At 38.8% G+C, this 17,547-nt stretch overlaps 1 protein-coding gene across 11 annotated transcripts in view, besides 1 other annotated feature; it reads left to right on the top strand.

Moving 5' to 3' along the window:
* The window catches only part of APP (amyloid beta precursor protein), a 290,579-nt gene that overhangs the window by 190,418 nt on the left and 82,614 nt on the right, over positions 1-17,547 (top strand). For all 11 annotated transcript variants that reach the window (NM_001136131.3, NM_001136129.3, NM_001136130.3 and 8 more), the window contains 2 exons: positions 4,683-4,757; positions 5,483-5,641. In NM_001136131.3, coding sequence (NP_001129603.1) covers positions 4,683-4,757; positions 5,483-5,641 — 234 coding nt within the window. The remainder of the gene's footprint in view (positions 1-4,682; positions 4,758-5,482; positions 5,642-17,547) is intronic.
* Positions 12,622-12,731: an enhancer, noted in NCBI's record as "active region_18320". NCBI's record gives its function as "activates an Ori minimal core promoter by ATAC-STARR-seq in GM12878 lymphoblastoid cells {active_cell/tissue: GM12878}" and the evidence as "EXISTENCE:reporter gene assay evidence [ECO:0000049][PMID:35858748]".

Below are 17,547 nucleotides of genomic sequence, written 5' to 3'. Positions count from 1 at the left end.
ACACAGGTACTGTTTTTTGTTTGTTTGTTTTGTTTTTTGTTTGTTTGTTTTGCCTTAAGATGAATAACAATACTTGGATCTACTTTGGTATAATAACATAAAGAGGAAAAAAGCCTTATAATCACAGTACTTTTGGCTCTGGAATATAATGTGCAGTTCTAGTGGCTGCCCACGATGAAAACCTAACAGCTAATTGAACTAGAAAGCTAGCCACAGGGAATTATTAAGTTTTCACCTGATGCCAAGAAAATCAGATCTTTCCTTAGGAAAGACACAGGCACTGTTCGGAAAGCATTGGAGGACTATGAATCATACTTATTGCCACTGAAATGTCCTCATTTGAATTTACATCCTATCTCCCTTCTTTATGAAGCTTTCAGAGGCTTCCTGTGCCCTCACAAATCCACTTCTGGGCACATGAAGTCGTAAAAAAAGAACAATGACAAAAATAAACACCGAATGCTCAGCTTGTCATTTTCAGCGCCTACCACTGTACCCTGACTCTGGTCTTCCTACCACCTCTTCCTTCTCAACTGCTACCCTTGCTTTCTGTACAGCGTTAAGCTGCTGTTCTGATCAGGCCACTCTGCTCATCGTCTGTTCATCTCATCTTGGGCTTCCCTTTGCCCTTGGCATTGAGTTCTTCTGGAAATGCCCTCCCACTCTTCTTCACGCTGACACATCTCACCCATTCCTTACACCCCACTTCATACTCAGAATGAGACAGGCAGTCATTGCTCTTACCTTTCATTTAATTCTAAATATTTGCTCCCCGGTTTTGTTAGTGATTTCTGGACACACCTGCATTATCTTTCCAAGCTGGATAGAAACCTTGAGACCTCAAGTCATGAAGCCTGCTACCTGCATTCATCGTGGACCCACTGTAGCATTTTTTTTAATGTGTGTTTTTTTAATCCTGGATTTTTTCTCCTAGTATATCTTGTTCATTTTTGACCTTATTAAGAAAACTTATTTCAAATTCTCTGTTAGTTTTAGATGTGACAGGTCTTCTTTAAAATAATAATTTAACTTTTAGCACATCTGTGTAACTTGTGACTTAGTTCATGATTTTGTAGATTTTGTTCATCTTTTAGTCATCAGATATATCTGATATAACCTAAGAGATGTTGTCCCAGAGCAGAGAATGTTGTCTACTAGATTCCAGTGGTCATAGGAATGTGAGACACCTGAAATCAATATGTATCTTCATAGTCTGTGGTGCTGAAATCTAGGGACTTTTCAACTTTAAACTTGCCTGCCTCTTAAATCTCTACTTAGTAGTAGTCATTTTCTCTGCATGAAACAGCCAAGTCTTTGAAGATTGATAAATCCAAATGAAATTGATACCTTTGTGCCTGCAGTGGAAAATTGCTTTATAAGAATCCATAGAGCCACTGCAAGGGCCAGGTCCTGAGAATTTTAAATTTTAAAAATTGTGCGGTTTTTTAAATTAAGTTTTATTGTAGTTTTTGTTATATGTTTTCTTACAAATACAGAGGATTTTGGAATTTTTTCATATTTTGGTTTGTTGTTGCCATTGTGGAGTATAACTCTAAACCTGTAGATTTTTGTTGCTAAACCTGTAGATTTTTGTTGCTATATGTCGTGACTAGCATCTAGTCAAATAGAAATCTACAGCTGAACCATGTGTGAGCACTTTTATTACTTATAAACTTACTACTTTTAGTATATGCTTAAAATGAAGTCCTTCAAATTGAAAGCTGACCCAACTCATAGGTTTTTATTTCTTTTCTTTTTTGGAGATGGAGTCTTGCTCTGTCACCCAGCTGGAGTGCAGTGGCACAATCTAGACTCACTGCAACCTCCAACTCCCTGGTTCAAGCGATTCTCCTGCCTCAGCCTCCCCAGTAACTGGGATTACAGGCACGTGCCACCACGCCGAGCTAATTTTTGTATTTTTAGTAGAGACAGGGTTTCACCATGTTGGCCAGGATGGTCTCGATCTCCTGACCTTGTGATCCACCCGCCTGGGCCTCCCAAAGTGCTGGGATTATAGGCATGAGCCACTGTGCCTGGCCTAGGTTTTTATTTTTAAGATAAGCAGCAACATTTTAAGAGCGCCCCTTTCTCCTGTCACTAAATATAAATAAACTTAGCTCACCTAATGAATTTTTTATTTTATAATAAAAAATTGGGTACCACAGGGTACAAAAACATGATCTTTAGAGCCACAGAGATCTTGGTTTATATTCTTCCCTCTCCCTTTTTTACCTGCATAGCCTCGAGCTGGTACCTTAACCTGGTTCGTAAAATGGGATGGCCCTGGCTAATCTCACAAGCTGTTGTGAGGAATCAATTAAATTAGATAGATTTTGTAAAGCTCTTAATACAGGGTCAGCAGTAATGCTACTTGTTATCAGTCCCACAGTGAAATTCACTGTTCACAGGGAGATGGTCAGCCTACATATAGTGTGTATTCATTTGCAGTAGAGTCTTAGTGGGATGGTGCAGGTGATTTGTTTATTTGTGGGGGTATAGGATATTGTTAAATTGTTCTGAAAATCAAAATGTGAGTTAATTTCTATAGTAATGCTTATTTGCAACTCATTAGCTAAATAAATCTCTTTAATTATTTCATGGATTCCCCCAGCTTAAAGCTTAAAGTCCAGTTTCTTAAAGTGTATGAGGTAAAATGGAAAAAATGTAAATGTAATATGGGAAATCAGTTCTCACATTGCAGTAGAACATTGAACTTCTATCTCAAACTAATTTTGAGATTCCTTGCTTGAAGAATTGTTGGTAGAGTACCACCACTGTGAACATTCCCAAAGCAGGAAATTGAAATATTTATATTGCAAGGCTTATCTCATCTATAAAGCAAAGATGGTCTTCCATTTCCCCCTTGCCCACAGGTTCCCTTTATTAACTTGGTAGAAGCACCAAAGCAGATGGGACAATATGTTTCTTTTCTTCCATGTTCTATTCTTGTTCATTGCAGCAGGGCATTTGTCCCAATTTTGCTGTGAACCTTGAGATTATTTTTGATATGCTTTTCAAGTGTAATGAAATATTTATTCCATCTTGTTTCCTCCATGGTTTTACAAAAACAACAAGAAGAAGCTAATTGCCTATCATATACAAAGAATGAATGCCAATGGACAATAAAATCTGTAATTAGGAACCCACATGGTGATTTGATATAGTATTGTCTCATAGAAGTCTTCTATCTATAGTTATTTATTCCAAGCCTCTTTTTCTTTCCCATCTTGAAGTATGTTAGAAGAGTCTATTCCTTAAGGCTAAGTACCTACAAAAAACAGGCTCTTATAATACAGTAATCAAGTTTTCTCATGCTTTGGGAGTACACAGAGTATGCAAGTACACATCTGGCACCAAACCAATATTTTGTTTCCTTGATCTTTCTTCATTTTACCTAGTTCAGAGTTGCACTTCAAACAAATTCTACTTGTCATACACTTGAAAAGGCAGCTGTAGGTGGTAGGAAGTTAATATTTTCTTTGAACAACATACAGAGGTGCAGACTTTTACTTTTTGTATCAGGTTAATGAGTGAACTTCTCTCAGGGAAATCCAGGTGAACATCAAAGTTGAGAGCAGGAAGCATTGATTTCCTACAAAACACATTCACCTGATATCTTAGTCAGTTTGTGTTGCTATAATAGAATACCCCAGCCTGGATAATCTGTAAAGAAAAAGAAGTTTAAAATTCGGCTCTCAGTTTTGCAGGTGGGGAAGTCCAAGAACATGGTGCTGGCATCTGTTGAGGACTTCCTTGCTGTATCATATATGGTGGAAGGAAGAAGGGCAAGAGGAGGGCAAAACTGAGTTTTATAACAACCCACTTCTCACAATAACAAACCCACTCCCCCCATAATGATACTAATTTACTCATGAGGACAGAGACTGAATCACCTCTTACAGGACTTACCCCTCAACATTGTTGCACTGGGGATTAAGTTTCCAACACATGCTTTTTAGGGGTTACATTCAAACCATAGCAGTTGGTTACTAAATTAGTGCTACTTGTAAAAAAATACATGTTTGCTGCATTCAGAATATTACATGTTTTCTTGGAGTTTTTGGAAGGACTTAGCGTAATCCTTGCTGTTCATGACTTAGGTTGGCAAGCTCAAAGGGCCTTAATTCCCCATCAGTTCTTTAAAGGGGGATAGGTCTTAGGATATTAGACAGCAGAAGTCTTCTTTTTCTTCCCCCATTATGTACTGCTTTTTGGCATTGTATTCATGACACACACACACATAAAATGTCATATTTTCTTTAAAGTCAAAATATACAGTTTAAAATGGTTTCAGTTGCTTTCATAAGAGAGTAAAACTTAGGTGTTCAGTTTAATATTGGAAGACCTTGTTCAGTTAATGTGTGCCTTCCATGAATAGTTGGTATTTGTTCACATCAAATCAAATGACTGTCAGTTCTCGGGGTAAAAAAAGACCAACCTTGACTCAAAAAGCTATATTCCTGCAATAAATATGAACATTTATGTTTAATATACTGCTGTGATTAATTATTTATATCCTAGTGGGAGGTCAAATATTCTTCAGATAGGAAGGGGTATGTAATAAATTTTTTAAATATCTAAAATGACAAAAATAGAGGAAAAACATAATCATCCATCCTATTAAGTCTGTATTCAAAGGATGAACTGATGATTTTAAATTCAAATGTTTCCTTAATTTATAGGTCATGAGAGAATGGGAAGAGGCAGAACGTCAAGCAAAGAACTTGCCTAAAGCTGATAAGAAGGCAGTTATCCAGGTAAAACCTGAACCCATTTCCTACCAAACATCACATGCCAGCAGTCTTTTTAATGAGTGTCTGCAGGTTTACCTTTATCTGCCAGCACCTCACGTGTGATTGTTCATAGTCCCATGAACTTCAGCTGTTCTTAATCATTGTCTAGTAATTGAGTTGTTTAAATCCTGCCTTATATTTGCTCCCAATTATTTCAAGTTATAATTCATTGCCATAAAACTCACATTGTAACTTGCAATCTACTTTTTATTAATAATACATCTTTTCAGTCACCACAATCTTCTGCTGCTTCTCCCTCCAGCAAAAATTATGAGAATTTGAATTTTTGATGGAAACCAGTCTCAAAATTACCTTAAGTAAACCAACAGTTTATTATGGTCAATTACTTGAGGTACTGTTAGTAAGAGAGGGATTTTTTTTTAATATGTAATATAAGAGTTTCAAGAGTGCATATATTTATCCAAAGTTATTAGTCAAATCAGCCTTCAGAGAGCCTATGAAATACTGATTTTCAATGAGAAAGTAGGTTTGATGAGGGTTGGAGAGTGCAAGAAAGTGAAGTAAGCTATAAAACGTAGAATTAGTCAATGTTGGAATGACTATGCAGTCTTTAGGATACTTTTTAGCACTAGAAGAAAATGGAATAGGATGTCTTTTTTAGAAGACTTGAAATTGCTGCTTCATCCTACTTATTCAGTCCCCATGGACATATGTGTTTATGATGGCAGCATTTCCAGGAGAAAGTGGAATCTTTGGAACAGGAAGCAGCCAACGAGAGACAGCAGCTGGTGGAGACACACATGGCCAGAGTGGAAGCCATGCTCAATGACCGCCGCCGCCTGGCCCTGGAGAACTACATCACCGCTCTGCAGGCTGTTCCTCCTCGGGTAGGTCTCGCTGCAGCCGAGTTCACACTTCAGGTCACAGCACAGACAGTAAGGGTGGGGCACTGGGAACTGGAAGCCATACAAAAAGAATGAGGAGAAATGCCTTGAGCACTGTTATTCAGAGGTTCAACCCCTGTCCATTCCATCTTGAAGGTCAAAGGGTCACAGGGCAGCTACCTCCACAAGGTCATCTCTACACAGCAGGTACTCACACTTCCCCACAGAGCAGCCAGACAGGACTCCCAGGGACTCACATTGCAAGCCCTGACTTGATTTAATATTCCTGAGGTGGTGACAATTGATGGCATAGTTCAAGTTCGAACACAAAAGCTGGAAGGATGTCTTCCAGTCCCTTCAGGCTGCTGTAACAGAATACCATAGACTGGGTACCTTATCAGCAACAGAAGTTTATTTCTCACAGTTGCAGAGGCTGAGAAGTCCAAGATCAAGACATCAGCATACTTGGTTGTCTGGTGAAAGTTTGCTTCCTGGTTCATAGAACTTAAATTTTGTTTATCTTTTATTTATTTTATTTTTGTTTTTGTTTGTATTTTGCTGTATCCTCATATGGTGGAATGGGCAAGAGAGCTCTCTGGGCCCTCTTTTATAAGGGTACTAATGTCAATCTTGAAGGCTCTGCCCTCATGCCTAATTGTCTCCCAAAGCTTTCACCCTCAAATAGCATCACACTGTGGCTTAGGTTTCAACATATGAATTGGGGGTGGGAGAGACACAAACATTCAGACCATGGCAAAGGATTTTAGAAGTAACCTTGCCCAGCCCCCTCATCATGTAAGTATAATAATATAACTAAGGTCAAGGAAAGTTGAGATTTGGCTGAGTTGTAAGAATTTTTAGTGGACCAGAAAGAATTAGAACTCAAATTTCCATCTCAGAGCAGTGGCCATATTCTCTGTGGGGAAGCATTTGTCAGTCATGACATTAGCAATGATGAGACTTATTCATGGTTTTCAGTGATCATTGCCCCAAAAAGGCATGTTGAGTGGTACAGGCATAGATGTGTTCACCGGCATTCTGTGGGAGAGCTTACTTGGAATGGAAGGAACTTTCTGAGCATGAGTGTGTAACTTATGTCCACTTGTTCTTTTTTTTTTTTTTTTTTTTTAAATGAGATGGAGTCTCACTCTGTCACCCAGGCTGGAGTGCAGTGGTGCAATCTCAGCTCACTGCAACTTCTGTCTCCTGGGTTTAAGCAATTCTCATGCCTCAGCCTCCCAAGTACCTAGGATTACAGGTGAGCCACGACACCCAGCTAATTTTTGTATTTTAGTAGAGACAGGGTTTCAACATGTTGGCCAGGCTGATCTCGAACTCCTGACCTCAGGTGATCCACCCACCTCGGCCTCCCACAGTGCTGGGATTACAGGCGTGAACCACCATGCCCAGCCATTTGTTCTTTCTGTTTGTCATTGAGCAAGGGATATTGAAAGCTCTGCCTGTGATTGTGGACCGGGCCATTTTTCTAAACAGTGCTATCAGTTTTTATTTTGTATAGTTTGAGGCTGTGTTTTTAGGCGTGTAAATGTTCCAGGCTGTTAGGCCCTCCTTGAGCCTCTTCTTATGAAATGATCTTTTTATCCTTTGTAATGTTTTGCTCCAAAATCTACTTTAATATTAATAAAGCTATTCCAGCTTTCTTTTGATTAATATTAATGTGGTGCATTTTTCCATCCTTATACTCTTATTGACCTTGTTTGTCTTTATATTTGAAGTGTATTTTTTGTAGGCAGCATGTAATTGGGTCTTGCGTTTTCCTTTGGATTGGGAAGACCATGTACACTGAATGAGGTTATGGATATGGTTGTCACTGAATCTGTCATCTTGATATTTGTTTGCTATTTGTCCAGTCTGTTCCTTGTTCTTCTTTTTTCCTCTTTTTTTTTTGGATTAATTAGAAATTTTTTATGATTCTATTTTATCTCTTTTGTTGGTTTGTAAGTTACAACTAGTTTGTTATTTTACTGGTTTATCTCCTTTGTGGGTTTATAAGTTATAACTAGTTTGTTATTTTACTGGTTGCTTTAGGCTTATAGAAAACATTCTAAACTTGTCACGATGATGTTATGTCAGTTCAAATGATATTATACCACTCCACAGACAGTACTTTACAAAAGTACTTCCATTTTTCATCTCTCTCTCTCTCTGTAAGCGGTTGTTGTCATACTTTTTCCTTACTACATTGTTGATGTTTTTCTTTAAACAGTTATTTTTTAATGAGTTGTAAATTTAAAAAAAAAACAACATGTTTACCCATGAAGTCATCATTTTGGGTGCTGTAAACTCTTTGCGCAGATCCAGCTGGTATCATTTTCCTTCTGCCTGAGAGATTTCCTTTAAAATGTCTTAGAGACTGGGCTTGGTGGCTTGTACCTGCAATCCCAGCAACTCAGGAGGTTGAGATAGGAGATCACTTGAACCCAGGAGTTCGAGACTGCAGTGAGCTGTGATTGCATGACTGTACTCCCATCTGGGTGACAAAGGGCATCCTGTCTCTTTAAAAAAAAAAGTTTGAGTGCACATAAGTTGGTGATGAAATCTTTGTTTGGCTTTGACCAAAAATGTCCCTTTTATACCTTTGGTTTTGAAAAATATTTTTGCTGGGTAAAAAATACTGGATTGAGGTTTCTCTTTCACTGCCTGAAAGATGATACTCTGCTGTCTTATTTGTGTTGATATCTTTATCTTTATTTCTCTAAAAATAACATGTCTTTTTTTTCTGTTTTTACAGTTTTCTCTATATCACTGGTTTTTAACAATTTAATTTTGATATGCCATGGTATCATTCAGTCTGCCCTTAATTCCATCTGGCCGTTTTTCATCTTATCACCTCACATACTGTAGTTGTTGTATATAGAAATTTAACCTGGGCTACCCCCAACACCCATAATATCGTCTGTATCTTAACTTTTGAACCTATGGAATACAGTTATTATATGAAAACTGTTTAAATATCCATGTTTGCTAATTCTAACATCTCTGTCAACTTTGAATCAATTTTGATTGCTTATTATTACATGTGGCATTTCCCTGTATCATTTTATGCCTCATAATTTTTTATTAAATGTCGGACGCTGAATTTAAACCTGTTGAATGCTAGGTGTTTTTGTAATATTCTTGAGCTTTTTTCTGTCACATAGTTGAGTTACTTGGAAACAGTTTGATCCTTTTGAGCTTTGCATTTTTAGATTTGTTAGGTGGGATAGAAGCAGTTATCAGCCTAGGACTAGTTATTCCTTACTAGTGAGGCAAGACCCTTCTCAGTCATCTACCATGAATGTTAAGTTTTCTCACCTGACTCGTGGGAAGAGGCATTATTCCTGTCCCTGTGTGAACACCAAGCACTGTTAATGCTAATTCTTTTTGGTGATTTTCCCCCTGGCTTCAGTTTCTTTCACATGCATGTACCCATCATTACTCAGCTATATTCTCAGGGATCACTCTGCACATCTCTGGATTCTCTTTTGGAGCAACTCTCTCCTCACCAATACCCTGTCCTGTGAATTACAACTACCTTGATCTCTCCACACACTTCATGTCCTCCACTCCACGAGTCCTCTAGGCTCTGTGTGGGTTTCCCCACCTGAAACCATGACCTGGAAATTCAGGGCCATGAGTTTGGCAGCTGTAAGTCCTCATTTGTTTCCCCTTTTCAGGAATCAGTGTCCTTCACCTGATGTCTAATGTCTTGCAGAAATGTTGTTTATGCCAGGTGTGGTGGCTCACGCCTGTAATCCCAGCACTTTGGGAGGCCAAGGCGGGCGGATCACGAGGTCAAGAGATCAAGACCATCCTGGCCAACATGGTGAACCCCGTCTCTACTAAAAATACAAAAAATTAGCCAGGTGTGGTGGCGCACACCTGTAGTCCCAGCTACTCAGGAGGCTGAGGCAGGAGAATCACCTGAACCTGGGAGGCAGAGGTTGCAGTGAGCCGAGATTGTGCCACTGCACTCCAGTGTGGTGACAGAGCAAGACTCCATCTCAAAAAAAAAAAAGAAACGCTGTTTGTATATGAATATATTGTCCAGTTATTGGTGGTTCAGGCAGGAGGGTAAATCCAGTTCTTCTCACTCAATCTTGGCTGGAATTGTTTGTGCATTTTATGCAACTTAACCAGAAAGTCACCCATTTGCACCGATTTTCCTCACCATTTTGATTTTTCTTTCTATGGATAAAGTTACAGTGCACAGAAAGCCATGAGGAGCCGTTAAAGAGCTCGTGGCATTCTTCCAAGACGTAAGATACTATTTACCCTGTTCTACCGATGATATCACTGCAACCTCGGGAGATGGAGCGGCTGGTTCAGGGTGACACTGCTGGGAAGGGAGAGGGTAGAGCCGCGAGTCACTGTGGTGCCTTCTCACTAGAACGAGCTTCCTCTCTAAACAAAGAGCTTTTGAAAAAGAATATTCATATTAGCGTTTTCATTTTCTATTTGCCAAAATTCTCTATCTTAGCAAGGCACTTGTCAGGAAATTTTTTTTTATATCTCTGCAGAACAAAAGTTCCTTGGTTCCTCTCTTTTTTGGAGAACACGCTTTCAGGAGAGGAGCCGTGTGATCATTTGCCAGAGAAGGATAGGCTGGTGGGTGCTGAGACCAGAATCTTTATAGCAGAAACTTGTGAAGCGTTCCAGCTGAAAGTCCAATCTCTAAAGTAAGATCTTTGCTAAATGGACATTGATGGGACTAAAAATAAGCTGAGGGCTGAATGGAGGCTTTAACAAATGTACATTTAAACTCTCAGTTTAGTCTCATCAGCCATCACAGGAAAGGCAGTGGCAAGAATGTTTGCCGAAGTGTCATCTTTTATCAAAGGGGATAATTTTAGAGTGGTTGTAATCGTGCTTATTGTGGGCCTCCGCATTGCTTCATATGGAATTAGGCAACATGTTCATTTGAAAAAAAAATTAAAAACTGGATTAGGAAGAAATATTTTACTGTCAAAAATCAGATCACTGTTGTTGATTGATCTAAGGATTCCTGTTAAATTCTTAACTCGGATTTATTTATTTATTTATTTATTTTCTCTCTCTCTCTCTCTTTCTCTGTTTCTCTTTCTCTCCTGCCTTCCTTCCTTCCCTCCCTCCCTCCTTCCTTCTTCCCTTCCTTTCCTTTCCTTTCCTTTTCTCTTCCCCTCCCCTCTTCTCTTCTCTAATCTTCTCTTTTCTTTTCTCTTTTCTTTTCTTTTCTTTTGTTTTCTTTTCTTTTCTTTTCAGGGTCTTGCTCTTTCACCCAGGCTGGCATGCAGTGGTCCAGTCGTAGCTCACTGCAGCCCCAACCTCCTGGGCTCAAGCAATCCTTTTGCCTCAGCCTCATGAGAGTTGGGTCTACAGAAGCTCCACCATGTGTGGCTAATTTTTAAAAAATTTTTGTAAAGACAGGGTCTCGCTGTGTTACCCAGGCTAGTCTTGAACTTCTGGCCTCAAGCGATCCTTTCACCTCGGCTTTTTAAAGTGCTGATATTACAGGCATGAGCCACCATGACTCACCTTTAAATCTTTCCTTTGTAATAAAATGTGGCTGGGTGGTCACAGGCCTGGAGTCTAGGGGGCATTACTTGCCATTTTTGTTAAGTTACCATCTTTAGGTGTTCATTTAAGTTTTAATGTTGTATGGCTTGACCTGGCACTTAGGTCTGCACTTTGGCAGGCACAAGAAAATTGTAAATACCTTCTTTTTTTTTTTTTTTTTTTTTTTTTTGAGACAGAGTCTTGCTTTGTCGCCCAGGCTGGAGTGCAGTGGCGTGATCTTGGCTCACTGCAAGCTCCGCCTTCTGGGTTCACACCATTCTCCAGCCTCAGCCTCTCAAGTAGCTGGGACTACAGGCACCCGCCACCATGCCTGGCTAATGTTTTTTTTTTTTTGTATTTTTAGTAGAGACGGGCTTTCACCGTGTTAGCCAGGTTGGTCTGGATCTCCTGACCTCGTGATCCGCCAGCCTCCGCCTCCCAAAGTGCTGAGATTGCAGGCGTAATTAAATGCCTTCTTGAGGACTTTTATACCTTCCTCTTGAAGACATAAATCCAGAGCTTACTGGTGGTTGTCTGAAAAAGATCACATCTTGTAATAGGAGTCATACATAAATATTTCTGAGATCTCCCTCATACTTAACCACCGTGCCTGGAAAATGCAGACAACTGTATTCAGTAAATGGTATTTGAATATAAGTAAATCAAAAGTGTCGTTTCCATAGATTCTGTAGATGTTACCACTTAGAATAATTACCTGTCTAACCCTTAACAAATTCTACCGTATATTCTCAGACTTTGCAAACACGGGATTCCAAAACAATGTGGATTGTTTTCAGTTTCTTTGAAGCTCAGATTTAAATCATACTTTTACTCAGTTTTTAAACCTAAACGTGGAAGTGTTATGAGATGTTGTTTTTGTGCAGCTAGAATTCCTTGTTCTACTAATGAATTTCATTTCCTGAGTCCCTGTGTCTGAGTATACTGTATGTTTCAAATTTCTGATTTAGTTATGTACCTATAGGCAAATACACTGAATGGTCAACCTAAAAATGCATTGTTTGACTCATATTTAGAGTCATACATATATAGGCACATGTATTTAAAATAAATACTTTAGGCTAGATGTGGTGGCTCACAGCTGTAATCCCAGCATTTTGGGAGGCTGAGGTGGGAGGATCCCTTGAGCCCAGGAATTTGAGACCACCCTAGGCAACATAGAAAGGCCCTATCTCTACAAAAAAAAAAAAAAAAAAAGATTTTTTTAATTAGCCAGGCATGATGGTGCGCGCCTGTAGTCGCAGCTACTCTGGAGGCTGAGGTGTGAGTGTGAACCAGGAAGTCAAGGCTGCAGTGAGCTGTGATGGTGCCACTGCACTCCAGCCTGGATGACAAAGCAAGACGCTGTTCCAAAATTAAAAGTTAAAAAATGAGATAAATACTTGAAATATTACAATTATTAAAATAGTTGTTTTCCCCATGGGAAAAAAAAGTTGAGCAGAGCTGTGTCTTTGCACTCAGAAAAAACTCTTACTCTGTTGAAGGCTAGTGACTCTTCTAAACACCAACCCCTTCACCTTTTTACTTTCCTTAGACTTTCTTTGGAAAATCAAGGAGTTAGCACTTTTTCCCCCTGGAAGAATTAAATGCCTCTCCAGAACTGCAGCACAGGAGGTTAACTTCTACCACCTTTGGAGGCCTGCAAGCTACCAGATTAAATACTTAAAGCTAAGCATTCATCATTTCTTAACCTGCCCTCTACAGTCATGCACTTCCTGCTTTTTACTTTGTCAGGGCTCGTACTCAAACTATTCATAGCTTCATGAAACAGGAACTAAATGCTGTCTGAGCCTTTCCCCTTGTAACTCTCAGCGTTCTGCTTATCCTTCATAGACAGAAGATGATGATATGTCCTGACTGTTGAAGAGAAATTAGACTTAATGTGATCCTGTACAGTTAAACCAAAGGCCAGATAGGGATTTTTTATTTCAATCAACTTTCTATTGTAGGCCTAGGTTTGGAAAACCTTAGCACCCCCTAATTTGTAAGACTTGAACTGTTTTAAAGATAAGGGATACACAGCCAAAGCTTTCTTTGTAATTCTGAGATTTTTGGTGTTTTTACAGATACTTAGTCTAAATCTTTCATCAGACAGTTATCATGATTATTATTCTGACTTCAACAACTGCATTTTCTAAAGGGAAGTGAGAATTAGGAAACATTTTCCTGTACATCTGTTTATCTATCCCAGTTGTGTTGTTTGGATTTTTTCAGTGTCTTAACGATTGAAACCATCTTATCCATACTGAAATTCATTTCATGCTTCTATCTGCTGCTTCACATTCAGGCTATCAGTTTAATTGAGCAAAAAAAAAATGTTGGCAGTTTCTATAGCATCGGCATCCTTCTTTGGTTTCTCATTTTTGAATGGTTCAGCCACATGTTAAATTTTGCTGAGATCTCTGGAAACTTCTTCACATAATTCTTTGATAGAACATGAATTCTGTGAGACTCTTCATTAAAGAGCACGGTTTCATCACTAAGTTGAGATTTTGCTCAAGGCTATTTGGTAAATTCCAGCAGAAGAGCAATAAATGTTCAACAAGAAACAGCCGTCATTGGAGATAACAAGGGTAGACATTAATGGGAGGTTTGTCACAGGTAAACAGGTGATGGCATGAGAAGGTTTAAACCACCTCATAAATAAATTTTTCGCCACTATATGATGTGGATTACAACTAAACCAAACTTTAACCAATGTGGGTGTTGGTGTACCTTTCTTTTCTAAAGCAAAAAAGAAATTGTGGTACTAAACTTGAGCTTTTATATGATACCGCTAATTGCCCTTCACCCAACAAACCAATTATTTCTACCCATCACTTTTCGTTGCAAAAGAAATTATCTTATAAAATATATGTATATAGCATATATCTCCAAAGCAAATATGGGACATCTGTACCTCAATGTAACTGATAGTAAGTTAAAAATTATTTGCTGAGTTCTTGGTATGTGGACAGATGAATATTATAATGTTTAAGGCATTCCACCAGCAGGTTTTGAATTTAACCAAAATTTTATGAAGCTAATCAGAATGGAATTAAAAGTTGAAAGACTGCCAGGCCAAAAAGATCATCTTTCAGAAAAGTAAATAATTGCTCTATACTTACATATTTATTATTTATTTGTTCACCATCCGTTTATTTTTAGTTGAGTTCTGTATACATTGGTGAGCAAAGGGGGACTCATTAGCTTGGGCACTCCTAAGGGCAAACCCAATAACAGATAGTGAATGGGAAGGAAAATGAGAGAATTAGCATTTAGTGAACAAAATCTTATAAACTATGCTGAATGGTATACATGCTCTTTCAGTAAAGCCACTCAGTACTATTACTTCCCTACCTTCTGAATGTTTACCAAGTTCGATAAAATCTTGCTACATACAAATGGGAAGTATGTAACAAGAGATACTAGTGGTTTCTGGGTTTAATTAAGTTACATAGAACATTAAGAAGTATGTTGGGAAGGCATTAGCTTAAAAGCTGTCTTTTGCCACTGAGGCCATATTCATCACCCAGATTCCCTCCACAGTGGAGCACTGCTCAGTCACTGCCTTCAGAATGCAAATAGGTCTTCACAGGATGCTATTAAAACCCATAGCACCGTATGGTTTTACGCTCTGCTTTCTTCCAGCAAACCTACGTATTTTAATGTTAATATATATGTTCATTTTATCTTTGAGAATGAAAATGTATTATGAAAATATAAATATTTAGTTTTTGTAGACAAATAGCACATTTAAAGATCCAGTAGTTATTCACCTGCCTGGTATGACTGATAGAGAACAGATGGGTAGCAAAGAATCCTCACCCTGGAAACATGTACGCATACACACGCAAACACAATCTCGCATAAGCTTTAAGGGGTTCATTCATTTTGTGAAGGTTGACCATGGATACCAGTTTAAAGATGCCAGGTGATGTTTGGCTTTTAAGTATCATCACCTTGAGTTTCCTTATATAAATGTTTTAATATCAACAAAAAACTCAGAATTTCTAATAGGTCATAACACTGCCTAGGTATGGGAAGAGGAGAGGGTAAAATTAAAAGAAATGCAAATGTACTTTTCTTTGAATAGGCTAACCAGTTAGAGGATGTATGAAGCAGGACCACCATAGTCCAAGTATGAATATGCAAAATTAAAGCAGATTGCTGTAAATCTCTCTTAAAAAGTCAAGAATATGTCACAGTTGGCATTTTTCGGATGATCAGACCGTTTGACAAATCTCTGCAAGGGTCCGAGTTAGTCGAACATATCTTTTGCTTATGATTTCAGCAACACTGTGCGCTTTGCCTTCTGGGTTGTATTACTAATTCTGTTCATCATTAAGTGTACACATGTTTCACTGTTTGACTAAACAAAGCTTGAAGACATACAAGTCCAAACATTTTCTGTCCTTTCTGTATTCCCAGGTCAGAAGATCTTAGCTCTTTATCCATTCTGTGCTAGAGTTTGTCTGAAAGCATGAATCATGGGGTTGTGTTGGGTGCTAAATTTCAGTTCTATATGCTGCCTTCACTAATTTATGACTGTGGTCTGAACAACCAAAATAAATTATTTCTGAGAACTAGCAAAATACCCTGGAAAAAATTTATGAAACCTACCAGATTTGTAAAAAGGTCAGCCAGGCGTGGTGGCTCATGCCTGTAATCCCAGCACTTTGGGAGGCCAAGGCGGGTGGATCACCTGAGGTCGGGAGTTCAAGACCAGCCGGACCAACATGGAGAAACCCTGTCTCTACTAAAAATACAAAATTAGCTGGGCATGGTGGCGCATGCCTGTAATCCCAGCTACTCGGGAGGCTGAGGCAGGAGAATCGCTTGAACCCGGGTTGCAGTGAGGGGAGATCACCCCATTGTACTCCAGCCTGTATAACAAGAGTGAAACTCCGTCTCAGAAAAAAAAAAAAAAAAAAGAAAAGAAAAAAGGTCACTAAGTGATGAGAGAATTAAAACCACTCCTATTTTCTACCTTTTATAACATAAACTCTTGTCTTTACTTCCCAGGTTTGCCATCTTTATAACCTGTAACTAGGAGCAAGTGATTTAATAAAGGGATTCCTCCTATTCCGTCTGCAAATTGGAGTTAATTTTTCTCCTCTTTCTGCAATTTCTGTTGTTTTAGCTTTTGTTAGCCATAATTAGAAAATCAAAAGGATTCATTGAAAGTTGAGACAAAATTGTGAAGTAGGAAGATGTCTTCCTCCGTAAGAGGAGAAAGATTGTTAGAGGAAGTACATGGAGGCTTTGGTGACACATCCCTATGAGGAAGTGATCTGCTTCCACGGGAAGGAGAGAACAGATGATAGATGACTCCTAGATGCTCCTGCGTCATGTTCAGTACAAAATCAGAGCCGCATCAGCAAACCGGATACCCTGGGAAGGAACATTGGGATAACTCCTTGGCCATAAACAAAAGTTTTGCTCTGGCCTTATGAACTAAGTGGATTAATAGAGATTAGTTGTTCAATATCCTTCCATCTAATGGATCCATATTGTTAAAACTTAAGAAACACCAAAGGGGGAGAGTGTGAGAATCTACTGCCATTTTCTCCATTGCTTCATTCAAGACTTCTGTGTCCACCTTGGCATGGGATTATCATTTGCCCTTTTATACTCACCTTAAACTACAAAGATCATTTGTTTGCCTTTCTGAAGAAAGGAAGGTGGATAAATTTTGCAGGAGACTTTAAAAATTCAGCTCAACTCCTGGCATTAAAGACAATAAAGGTGGTGATTCAGAGGTCCCCATGGCAGTTTCCCCAAATATTACGTTTAACTAAGATCATCTCAAGCACAGAGAGACTTAACTCTCTAAAGTGTGATTTTTAAACCTGCACACGGAAATTTTCTACATTTTATATGCTCAAGATTTCTTGAAATCCAGGGTGTAAAACTGTGAAAATAATAGTTCTGAACCTATTTATGAAAGCAGGAGAGAATTGCTTTGTTCAGTTTTGGAAACCACCAGGGTGCAATTTAATGCTCCAGGAGAGGGTTTTCTGTGACCTGGAAAGGTTGGGGTGATTCCCGTACAGTGAGTCATTTACTTCCTTCTTGGCAGGATTATGCCCAGGGCTTTTAAACGCTCTTGACACTTCACTGCCTTCCATAAGAAACGGGTTTAGGGCACAAGTGTCTATTATGATAAGATGCCAGATTTCTAGATCAAGCATAAAGCTGTGGAGTGGGACAATAGGACTTAATAATTTTAATACACTTCCCACGTGAACTGTCAAGTAATAAGCTACATATTCAGACGTGACTGGCATTGAGTCATCCTGCCATTAGTCAAATGTATGAGACTTTTCCCAAGTCCCAGCAACACCAAATTTGAGAAATCGTATAAAAGAAAAATG

The sequence above is a fragment of the Homo sapiens genome, chromosome 21, assembly GCF_000001405.40.
Source record: "Homo sapiens chromosome 21, GRCh38.p14 Primary Assembly".
Classification (NCBI taxonomy): domain Eukaryota; kingdom Metazoa; phylum Chordata; class Mammalia; order Primates; family Hominidae; genus Homo; species Homo sapiens.
Note: the sequence above shows the minus strand (reverse complement) of the source record. Positions and strands in the feature narration are given on the sequence as shown.